The sequence below is a fragment of the Homo sapiens genome, chromosome 5 (genome assembly GCF_000001405.40).
Source record: "Homo sapiens chromosome 5, GRCh38.p14 Primary Assembly".
Lineage (NCBI taxonomy): Eukaryota > Metazoa > Chordata > Mammalia > Primates > Hominidae > Homo > Homo sapiens.
The window spans coordinates 132,607,334-132,619,903 of NC_000005.10; the positions used below are offsets into that span (position 1 = coordinate 132,607,334).

Consider the following 12,570-nt stretch of genomic DNA (forward strand, 5'->3'; position numbering starts at 1 on the left):
CGGATGTGGTTTCAGAACCCTTACCAATACAGTGAGCAGGCACTCAGTTGCCACTGGAATGCATTTGACATCCCTTATATAGATTAATCACATCTAAGACTCAACCAGTTATAAACAGTTATAAACAATCTTACCTAGGTTTATATAATTATGCGTACTCATTCAATAAGCACTAAGTATATTACTGAATAATTACTATAAATTTTTATTAAATTTTAGATTACAAAATATCAGAGGTTCAGAATATAATATAAAATAGTACTTGCATCTGTATAATTTTTTACTATTTATAAAGCACTTTGACATTGAACCATTCAGTGCCTCAGCAACCCTATTTAGATGATGAAATCTCTTTATAGAAAAATTGAGATTTACAAATGTCTCATGAGTGCCTAAGTTTATGCAGCTAATAGGAAGCAGAGTTGATTTTCTGATAGATCTTTTGACACTGAGGGCATTTGACTTCCTAACACACCATACCACTTCCCAGTATGATAAAATAGACCTATATTGAAGTAATTACTAAATAATTGTATCTACCTCTATAGATTCACTCAGTACTTCAGAATCTTAAAGTGCTTGAGGACCTCTGTTTTGAACTGTGGTTATCATATAACTACGTTGTAGATTTAGTGTTACAAGGCTAAATAATGGGGACTTCTATTTAGTAAAATAGTTTATTACTTGAAAGCCCCGTTCCTTCCAAAATAGTTGTGGAGACACCAACATTAGTTTAACAGTATGCTTTTATTACCATGAAATATCTGCGTAGCCTTAGCAGGCTAAGCTTAAGGACAGAAGTGTTTTTACCATCATGTTTTCATCTGAAAAAGAAAAGTCTGGACTGAATGAGCTTTCCTATTCTTTGATCATGCAGCAGTGACGGGCACCTATAAAATCATGAAAACTCATGCTTGAAGCCACACGCTAATATAATTGGGAGCACATGGCCTAGATTAAGAATCAAATTAGTGGTTGATGCAGTATAGCATGCGTAGTGGTTAAGAGCGTGAACTCTGGAGCTGGACTGGGTTAAAATCTTGGCTGCTTCATTTACTGGCTGTTGTGACCCTGGACAAATCATTCTCTGTGTCTGTTTGCTCGTTTGAAATATAGGACTGAAAATGATGGTACTGTCCTCATAGGGTCATTGAAAGGAGCAAATGAGTTGACTTTTAGAGCCTGGCACATAGAAAGTGCTTTTATTAAGACTGTGAAGTCTGACCCCTAAAGTAAGATAATGGAATATTATATAATACTTTATCTTTTTTATATTTTTAGGATGCTAAAGAGCAGGTAAGCCCTTTGGAAACAACATTGGAAAAGTTCCAGCAAGAAAAAGAAGAATTAATCAACAAAAAAAATACAAGCAACAAAATAGCACAGGATAAAGTAAGATTTCATTTATATATTTACTTATCAAATATCTGTATTAAACTTATGTTCATAGCACCACGTCGGACACTTATTTCACATGAAATTAAATAGCATAAGATAAATAGTATTTTCAGATTCATGGTATAATTTTGACATTAGAAATTCTTGTTAGAACAAGGATTTGATGTAAATTATTTTGCTGCTTGATCTACAATAGAAGTTAAGAAATGAGACTAATTAATCAATTCCTATAGGTGAGAAAGGGACTTGTCTGCGATCATAAAATTCAGTAGTGGTGGAAACTGGAACCCAATGTTCATAACTTCCCAGCCAGTGTTTTACTGTGCTCTCCTGTTATGTGCCCTTAAGTACAACCAGTGTAAATTTAATGAATATTTTTCTACAGCTGAATGATATTAAAGAGAAGGTTAAAAATATTCATGGCTATATGAAAGACATTGAGAATTATATTCAAGATGGGAAAGACGACTATAAGAAGGTAATTTAAAACTTAAAATTATTTATTTGATTGTATTTTTATTCATGTGCTTAAAGAATTTTCTTTTTTGTAGCAAAAAGAAACTGAACTTAATAAAGTAATAGCTCAACTAAGTGAATGCGAGAAACACAAAGAAAAGATAAATGAAGATATGAGACTCATGAGACAAGATATTGATACACAGAAGGTAGGTCTGTTTTGCTTATGATATCACTTACACCTATGACATTCTTTTCTATAGTTTTATTTTCAATAGAAGATCCATTGAATAGAAATGCAAAAAGGAAAGAGGCCAAGCGTGGTGGCTCACACCTGTAATCCCTGCACTTTGGAAGGCCGAGGCGGGTGGATCACTTGAGGCCAGGAGATCAAGACCAGCCTGGCCAACACAGTGAAACCCTGTCTGTACTGAAAATACAAAAATTAGCTGGCCGTGGCGGCGCGCACCTGTAGTCCCAGCTACTCGGGAAGCTGAGGCATGAGAATCACCTGAACCTGGGAGGCAGAGGTTGCAGTGAGCTGTGATTGTACCACTGCACTCTAGCCTGGGCGACACAGCGAGACTCTGTCTCTAAAAAGAAATGCAAAAAGTAAAGAAAAATAATTCCAATAACATTCTTACTTCATTTATTTTTTATTTTTATTTTCAGTAAAAGACTCATGGTAAAAGTTCGAACATAAAGGCATAAAAGTGTTCCTCCCCTTCTCCTAATTCTCAATCTTACTTCTACATGTCATTAACTGTTACACTTATTTGTTCTTAAAGAAGTTTTTTATTCATATACCAGCAGATAGGTAGATAAATTTAGGTGTGTGTGTATATATATATATATATATTTAAATTTACTTTTATGGATGGGGTCGTATCATGTTATTCTGTACCTTTTTTCACTTAACATAATTTGATTTTACCTATCAACTCACAGATGTATCACATTCTTTTTAATGATTATAAAATAGTCCATTTTGTGTATATACCAGCACTTACTCAGATTGATTTCATTTCCTTATCACAAACTGTGTGACAATGAACATCTTTAACATGTATCTGTATCTTTTCTTATTCTAACATATCTTTATGTAGCATAAATTCACAAAAGACGGATTAAGGTTTAATAATCTTGAAAGTAATCTGTAAGGAAAATATTTATATATTAAGTCATTTTCCAGTTGATTCCTATATCATTTATTTTCTCTATTAAAGAAATTAATTTCTATAGTATAATCAAAATCATATTAAGAAGCCATCATCACATGCTTTATGCAAGCATGGTAGTTAATGCCTTTAAAAACTATACCATTTCTCTGTTCTTACTGTTTTAAACAAAATTTACTATTTGAATGCCTTAACCACTTGGTTATAAGTGGTTGCTTAAAATCATTTGGAAGATTAGTTACATTAGTTTTCTGCTGGGTCTCTTTCTGTACCACCAAGAATTTCAAATATATGAAATATCAGTCAAAGGGAGATCAAATCTCTGCCTGGCCTAATACATATTGAATAACTGTATAAATTTATGATGCATATATAACAAAATAATTATCACTAGCTTTTATGTAGTTGCCTATATAAAAATCACAATCTGTAAATTCGCAGCAGCTCTCTGTATATATATACGAAATTGTTAAGATTAATGATCTATGACCCCTTTTAAAGTGATGGTCTAAACTTAGTGGATCTGATGGTATTAGTTTACTTTGTAACCTTCCTTGTTCCAGAAATTATTTACTTAGTTATATACAATAGAGCAAAGATAAATGTATTTCAAATTAATGGGAAAACAAGGCAGTGTAGAAATAAGGGCAAGAAAGTAATGAAACCAGGAGAGAAGTGTATAAAAAGTATGCATGAAGTCTGATATGCTTGCTGAAGATTCTAGTAGTCAAATAAAGAGAGGAGGCCAGGCGCAGTGACTCATGCCTGTAATCCCAGCACTTTGGGAGGCCAAGGCAGACGGATCACCTGAGGTCAGGAGTTCAAGACTAGCCTGGCCAATATGGTAAAACCCCATCTCTACTGAAAATAGAAAAATTAGCCAGGTGTGGTGACACGCGCCTGTAATCCCAGGTACTCAGGAGGCTGAGGCAGGAGAATCGCTTGAACCTGGGAGGCAGAGATTGCAGTGAGCCGAGATCACACCATTGCACTTCAGCCTGGGTGACAAGAGTGAAACTCCGTCTCAAACAAACAAACAAACAAACAGAAACAAAAACAGCCAGGCGTGGTGGCTCACGCCTGTAATCCCAGCACTTTGGGAGGCCAAGGCGGGCAGATCACGAGGTCAGGAGATCGAGACCATCCTGGCTAACACGCCGAAACCCCGTCTCTACTAAAAAATACAAAAAATTAGCCAGGCCTGGTGGTGGGCGCCTGTAGTCCCAGCTACTCAGGAAGCTGAGGCAGGAGAATGGCGTGAACCTGGGAGGCAGAGCTTGCAGTGAGCCGAGATCGCACCACTGCACTCCAGCCTGGGTGACAGAGCCAGACTCCGTCTTAAAAAAAAAAAAAAAAAAAAAAAAGTCACAATTAGTCAAGATTCACATTGTGTCAATGCTAAAAGAAAACCAGTTTCCTATACTGACTACAGGATAATGTCTCTATTCATAGAAAGGAAGACATGTATAGTCTTCAACAGACTTCGCAGGGCTTTAAAAAAAATACAGTGTATCTCAGCATCATTATTCCTTGATACGAGGTTCTGTAGAGGGTGGTATGATTGAAGCCTGAAGTAAATGTTAATGTTTAGAAAGCAAAGGTTCTTAGCTAGGGGCACCTGTAAATCGTCTGAGTTTTTCCACTTCTAGGTATAGAACTAAGAAAATTGAAAACATATGTTCCCACAACAACTTGTACAAGAATGCTCATAGCAGCATTATTTGTAATAGTCAAAATATGGACACACCCAAATGGCCATCAACTGATGATCAGATAAACAAAATGTGGTATACCCATACAATGGAATATTATTCAGCCATAAAAAGGATACATGCTACCACATGAATGAACCCTTAAAACATGCTAAGCAAAAGAAGCCAGTCACAAAAGGTCACATAATGTACGATTCCACTTATAATAAATGTACAGATTAGGTAAATCCAGTGACAGCAGATTAATGTTTCCAGGGGGCTAGAGGTGAGGAAGGAATAGAGTGACTGCTATTGAATATGAGATTTCCTTTTGGGATGATCAAATGCTCTGGAATTGGATAGTGGTGATGGTTGTATAACCTTGTAAATAAAGTAAAACTGCTAAATTGTACACGTTTAAACAGTGAATTTTGTGGAATATTAATTACATCTCAGTTTTTAAAAAATGACTTAGGTTATTAAAAATACATGTGTTGGCCGGGCACAGTGGCTCATGCCTGTAATCCTAGCACTTTGGGAGGCCGAGGCGGGCAGATTGCTTGAGCCTGGGAGTTCCAGACTATCCTGGGCAATATGGCGAAACCCCATCTCTACAAAAAAATTAGCCAGGTGTGATGGTGCATACCTGTAGTCCCAGCTACTCAGGAGGCTGAGGTGGGAGGATTGCTTGAGCTGGGGAGTTCAAGGCTGCAGTGAGCCCTTACTACGCCACTGCACTCCAGCCTGGGCAACAGAGCAAGACCCTGTCTCAAAAAATATATATATATATATGTCTATGTCTCCAATCCACACCAGTAAATCAGAATCTTGGGGGTTTGGGCAGAGATATGTGTGTTTTGTTGAAATTCCTTAGAGGTTCTAATATATCCCTTTAGCTGTCAATAACTGAGCCAGCACTGGATGGACTGCATAGCTTTCAGGCAGTCTTGTAGAAGTGGTGTTATTCCCAGCTAGACTTTTGGTGGACATTGGACTGTAATCTGTTCAGCATGCCACTCTCTCACAGGTATCTAGAATGCAGCTAATTTTTATGTTTCCATAGGTGACCAGCTGCATGCATTAACTGTCATCTGAGTTGGATGATTGGGGTTAATATTTAAGAGCTGAGGAGCCTAACAGTCACTTATTTACGTACTGATTTAAGCCCTGCTAAATTTAGTCCACAGAATAAAATAATTTGGAAACTTAACTGCCTTTCTCAGTTTTCAGCTGAAGGAATATATGAAGAGAACTGTAGGTGACCTGACTTGTCCAAGGTCACAAAAAGTAGTAACAGGTAGAACTGGACCCTACACTATCAAATTTCTAGTAGAATGGAAAAACATTTGTGGTATACTATAACTGCATCTGATTTTTTTTCCCTTCCTTTCTCTGATACATTTTGTAGACTATAATTGGAATTCTCACTGCTTACAGTACAAAGGACAAATTTGACCCAAAAGGCATTTTATTAGCAATTATTGAGTCAGGCACTATACTGATTACATACACTCATTCCTTTAATCTTCACAATAGTCTTTTTTTTTTTTTTTTTTTTTTTAAATTAGATGGAGTCTTGCTCTCTCACCCAGGCTGGAGTGCAGTGGCACAATCTCGGCTCACTGCAACATTCGCCTCCCGGGTTCAAGTGATTCTCCTGCCTCAACCTGCCTGGGGCTACAGGCGAGTGCCACCAGGCCTGGCTAATTTTTGTATTTTTAGTAGAGGTGGGGTTTCACTATGTTGGCCAGGATGATCTCGAACTCCTGACCTCAAGTAATCCATCTGCCTTGGCCTCCCAAAGTGCTGGGATTACAGGTATGAGCCACCACGCCCGGCCACACAATAGTTCTTTATGATAGATAGTATCATTATTGACCATGTTATAAGCAAACTGAGGTTCAGAGAATTTAAACTAATTTGCCCAAAGTTATCCAGTTTAAAAGTAATAACACTGTGATTTGAGCCTAGATGTATCTGACTTCAAAGCATTACACTCTTGATGTGGTATATACTGTCTTTCAAAACTAGAAGAATAATGGAAGCTGACCTAAAACAAAGAAATGCCTAGCTGTCTGGTAACAATGCAGGTAGACAGACCAGCAACAATATTTTGTGCCAAAAATCAGTCTCATCTAAAAATGTGATAGCACTTTAAAGAGTCCTTTCATGCAATTGTGAAAACAAATTCAAATGTTCTGGGGTATTAGATGAAAGTAAGCAGTAGCACATTCCCTTGTTCCTAATAAGGAACAACAAGCATAGTACCCCATAGTAGAACCTTGGTAAGTCACACCAGCTACAGTGGTACATTAGATTGCTTTAGCAACAAAGGACATTTATAACCATGTCATTTTAGTCACCTTTAACTGCCTATAATAATGCCTTTAGTAGATACATATTCAGTTGTCTCGGTATCTCTGGGAGGGATTGGTTCCAGGATCCCCCGATAAAACAGATACCGAAATCTAGGATGCTCAAGTCCCTTATATAAAATGGCATATCTAGTGTTTACATATAGCCTATCCATATCCTCTGATATACTTTAATCTCTAGATTGCTTTTGATATTAATATGTAAATGATACGTAGTTTTTATATTGTATTATTTTAAATTTGTATTTTTTTATTGTACTATTACTTTTTATTTTTTTTCCCCAATATTTTTGATCCATGGTTAGTTGAATCCGTAGATGTGGACCCTGTGGATAAATTGTATGTTTATATTATTTCCAGGAAAAATGAAAGTAGCCTTACTTTGTGACTGTTAAAAAAGAAAAAAAAAACTCTAAAAATAGTCACGCATAGAGGGGCAGGATTGGATATGAACATTAAGCATGTGAGAGAAATCCTTGATTTCCCTCTCTCATCTACCAGTCCCTGGCCTTTACTGTTGGTGCAAGATATTGCCACAGGTCTGTCCATCTCTCTCACTTCCCATGTCACTGAGTTTAGCTTAGCTGCAAGGGCTATTGCAGGAGGGTCCCAGCTCCCTCTTTGAGAAATCCTTACTCCAAATTCAGAATAAGTTTTCTATACACATGATTTGTGGGCCAAATCACCCTTCTTTCTGCAGGAAATTTTTTTTCCTCTAAATTCCAAAGAATCAACTTAAAAACTGTTTTCTAATGATTGTCTCTTGACAACATAGTTCATTTTAATCACCAGGAAAACCACTGAAATAATTTTGTTGTTGTTGCTGCTGCTGCTAAGTGTTATTGAGTCTCTTTTGAAGGACAAAACTACTCAACAAGAACAGCCAATTTTTTGAAATTTCATTTCGGTGGCTAAGGAGGTACCAAGTTCATAGATATATGCTACTATTGTGGCACTTCTTACTGCCTTGAGTGATTACAATTTGTCAACCTAAAGGTAGAAGTTGCAGGTAACATATACCTAACAGGTTCTAATGGTCTTGGTACATGTTGGGAGACAGAACTAGGACGAAAAAGTTGGGGAAGACTTCAGTAGTAGTATTGATCTCTTATAATCTTTCAGGTCAGTAGGCTTTATCATGGGGTTCCTATGCAAAATGATCCACTGGGGATGTAGGTATTAAAATATCTAGTTATATTTTTAATTTCACCATTTAAAATGTCTGTTTTGTATGTTTTTAATACTTTATAAGTAAATAAGTACACAGATATATGCTCAAATCTTTATGAGACTCCCCATCAAACAGTAGACCTGGTTTTTAGATTATGGTTGTGAAAGAGCAGTAAAAGCTGCGCTACAGGAGGTATTACACTTGTCACTGTGGATGGGGATGGGCCATCCAGATTGCCCCAGACCTGTAGATTCCTTCACACTGGCTTATTCTCCCTCTGTTGAATTTCACATGATTCTAAGTAAGACAGAAATGGCACTTGCTGTCACCAGTTGCCTGTTACAGATTTCATGTTAGTAACTTGGTTATTTTTGTTAACTAATTTAATGTTTACCTTTAGATACAAGAAAGGTGGCTACAAGATAACCTTACTTTAAGAAAAAGAAATGAGGAACTAAAAGAAGTTGAAGAAGAAAGAAAACAACATTTGAAGGAAATGGGTCAAATGCAGGTTTTGCAAATGAAAAGGTATGCTTTTAAAATAATCTTCAGTTTAAATAAACGTCTTTATTACTGGAATGTGAAGAATATTAAATACCTGTTTTAAAAGAATTTTAGCCTCAGCCTGGTATCCTTTGAGAGTTACTAGAAGGTGAACAGTGTTTTGATACAATTATATTTCATGGCCTTAAGAACTTTATTACTGAAGAAGTGATATAGAATTGGTAATCACACTGTAGTGATGGGCCTTAGTTATTCAGTATTGAACATGCTTAGTCCCCATACATCTGCTAGCCTGCTGCACAGAATAGTGGTACTAAGCATAAAGAATATGGAGCTGTGGACCTTGTCTGGGTCAGAGCTTGTACAGTCTATAATATTGTCAATGGAGTTGTTGCCAGAGTGATTTATCCACAGAGATTCATTTTAGATTTTCTCATTTGTAATTATGTGTCCACCAGAGCATTTCTTTTGAAAGATGAGCCTCATTCTTCCTTTATCTGGTCTTATTGTTACTTATTGTAGTTGCTACCTTCCTGGTACAGCAGAAAAGATTTTATTCCTGCCTTGACTGCCTTAGAGTTAGTTGCCTTAGGAATTCTGTAAGAACCTTGTTGATGCTAAGGCACTAGACTGGTATAAAAGGTTGTACTAGGCAAATACTTAGATTGTCAACCACCTCAGCTGGTTAAATCCAGGCCTCTCATTTATTAAACCCTTCCTTGTAGAGTTTTCATGTCTTCTTGAATTTATACAGAAATCTGAATGAAAAAATGCCCAGGCTTTTCTAAAGGATATAGTAAAGTGAATTTTAATTTATAAAGCCTAACAAATGGTTAATCCTGTGTTTTGGTTAAGTACTCTTAGCTATTTAAAATCTCTTTCCTATATCAGGGAAATCAGATTTTTAACTAGAAGAGCTCATCATCTTCAGAGTCTTCATTTTTGTATGCATTATGCACACTTAGACCCAGAAAAATCACAGAGGAAATTATGATGAAAGCCAAGAATGTGACCCTAATATCCTAGTTCCCAAGCCTCAGTTCTTTTACACGATACTCTCCATGGCAAGTTGGAAAAGTAATGCTTCTAGAAGAAATTTTGATATAAAATAATATATTCGTGGCTACTAAAGACCAAAACCAGATATTTAAAAAATTTCTTCTGTAATTGGTACATAACAGTACTTTTTACATTCATTCACATTACTAAGTACAACTATTTTTCAAACGTTTCTTCAACCAGGACATAACAGAAATGCCAACAAGACTTGTAATCCAGTCGACTCTGTAAGGATGCCCATAAGCTTGAGAGTAGTGCCTGACACATAAGAGGATGCTTAATAAGTGATAATAAATAAATGAAGATTTTTAAAGCATACATTGAAATTTGTATAATCTGCCAAAATATCAGAAAAGTTTGAATATTTTACTTTTTTGGTCATTATTATGGTTTTTACACTTGTGCAAGAGAAATTTTGTTTTCATGGAGGAATCTAAATTTTTAATAAGTATTACTGCAGAAAATTAATATATGATTTAATTCGTATTGTGCCTTTGACATGAGCAAAATGATGATGAAGCCTGTTATCCATAACTTCTTAGTGTTGATAATTGTGCATTCTCAGTTCACAATCAGAAGATTGTGAATTTGTAATATTAATCACCAGAGTGCTTTACTTAGCGTCTAAAGGCCAGGAACTTTATCAGTGATCACATGCTATGAGGGTTCTGTAATACACAAAATTAGCTATTTAGCAACCTATGTGCGGCAGAGATATGGAAGGAAGAGAGGGGTTTTCTTTAGTACCAAAGCCCTAAATAATAAGCAAGGAGAGACTCTGTTATAATATACTGATTGCTAAGGAGAATGATACTTAACCTATCTAAAGAAATCTATGACTTTTCCACTTCAGGTTGTTAAAAGCTAAAAAATGGTCCTCATTTGTCATTTTTCTTTTTTACAGTGAACATCAGAAGTTGGAAGAGAACATAGACAATATAAAAAGAAATCATAATTTGGCATTAGGGCGACAGAAAGGTTATGAAGAAGAAATTATTCATTTTAAGAAAGAACTTCGAGAACCACAATTTCGGGATGCTGAGGAAAAGTATAGAGAAATGATGATTGTTATGAGGACAACAGAACTTGTGAACAAGGATCTGGATATTTATTATAAGACTCTTGACCAGTAAGTATTAGACTGGGGATTTTCTTATTGCAGTTAATATTAACTAACATACTTTAGTCATCTTTTCTCTCATTTTTTTCTTTTTTTCTTTTTTATTTTTTGAGACAGAGTTTCACTCTTGTTTCCCAGGCTGGAGTGCAATGGCACGATCTCAGCTCACTGCAACCTCTGCCTCCCGGGTTCAAATGATTCTCCTGCCTCATCCTCCCAAGTAGCTGGTATTACAGGTGCATGCCACCACGCTGGGCTAATCTTGTATTTTTAGTAGAGACGGGGTTTCTCCATGTAGGTCAGGCTGGTCTCGAACTCCTGACCTGAGGTGATCCACCCGCCTCGGCCTCCCAAAGTGCTGGGATTACAGGCATGAGCCACTGCGCCCAGCCCCTCATTTTTTCTCTTTAAATATGGTATTTTATGTATACCATGGATTGGAAAATATATGTATGTATGTATGTAAACACACACTAGCTTAAGTTATGAAGTTAAGATATAAAGCATATTAATATCTACGAGTATTCATGATACTACCTCCCTCTAACCAATCTACCATTATCACTGATTGGCATCCACTTAGATGCTCCCTTCTTATCTCAACCTTCTGTCATCCCCATTCCCTATAACCAGTGACAAAGATTTTTACTTTCTCTGCTTTTTTAAAAAACAGTTTTATCATATATATGTCATATTTTGAGCTTTTTAAAAATGATATGATATTCTAGGACTTGCTTTTTTATTTGGATTTGCTTTTGTTTATCCATGTTGTTTATGGCCGTAGTTGATTCATTTTCACTGATGTACATAATCTACTATGGGAATAGACCACAATGCATTCATTCTCCTACAGATGGACATTTGGGGTTTTTTTCCAGGTCTTGTCATGTCTTCTGGAGGAAAGGTATAAGGTTATATTTGTGGGAGTGCATTGTGGAGTATGCTCAATTTTACAAAATAATATTGTTTTCCAGAAATGACTACTGATTTATACCACTAGCAGTATATAAGGGTTTATTTGATGGATCCTCTGACATTGGTTTTATAAATTTCTTAATGTTTGCCAACCTCATAGGTTTAAAATGATGAATCGTTGTTTATACATTATTAGTCTTGTCTTTTTGTGTGTTTTGGGACAGAGTCTCTCTTTGTCACCTAGGCTAGAGTGCAATGGTGCAATCATAGTTCAGTGTAACCTCAAACTCCTGGGCTCAGGCATTCCTCCCACTTCGGCCTCCCAAAGTGCTGGGGTCACAGGTGTGAGGCATTGTTCCTGGCCCTATTGGTCTTTTCTTATTGATTTAAATGTGTTCTTTATCTCTTCTGCATTTCAATTCCTTTTCAGTTATATGTATTACAAATGTCTTTTCAAACATTATGCTTATCTTTTTTACTTAGCATCTTTTGATGACACTGGATTTGATTTTGAGTTAGTTGAATTTAGCAGCCTTTTCTGGTTAGCTCTTTGTGTGTCTTGTTAAGAAATCCTTCCCTACTCCTCTCTCTCTCTCTCTCTCTCTCTCTCTACTCCTCTCTCTCTCTCTCTCTCTCTATATATATATATATAAAGATATATATATATAAAGATATATATATATATAGAGAGAGAGAGAGAGAG

The 12,570-nt window shown here is 36.3% G+C and overlaps 1 protein-coding gene across 1 annotated transcript in view, besides 1 other annotated feature; it reads left to right on the plus strand.

Moving 5' to 3' along the window:
- Nucleotides 1-12,570, plus strand: part of RAD50 (RAD50 double strand break repair protein) — an 89,373-nt gene that overhangs the window by 50,357 nt on the left and 26,446 nt on the right. The window contains exons 17-21 of the mRNA NM_005732.4: nt 1,282-1,392; nt 1,784-1,876; nt 1,950-2,063; nt 8,670-8,797; nt 10,737-10,961. Of these exons, the coding sequence (NP_005723.2) occupies nt 1,282-1,392; nt 1,784-1,876; nt 1,950-2,063; nt 8,670-8,797; nt 10,737-10,961 (671 nt within the window). The remainder of the gene's footprint in view (nt 1-1,281; nt 1,393-1,783; nt 1,877-1,949; nt 2,064-8,669; nt 8,798-10,736; nt 10,962-12,570) is intronic.
- Nucleotides 11,064-11,239: a silencer, noted in NCBI's record as "fragment chr5:131954089-131954264 (GRCh37/hg19 assembly coordinates)". NCBI's record gives its function as "represses an EF-1alpha promoter that drives an FKBP-Casp9 reporter gene in an ReSE screen in phorbol 12-myristate 13-acetate-treated (for megakaryocytic differentiation) K562 erythroleukemia cells {active_cell/tissue: K562(+PMA)}" and the evidence as "EXISTENCE:reporter gene assay evidence [ECO:0000049][PMID:32094911]".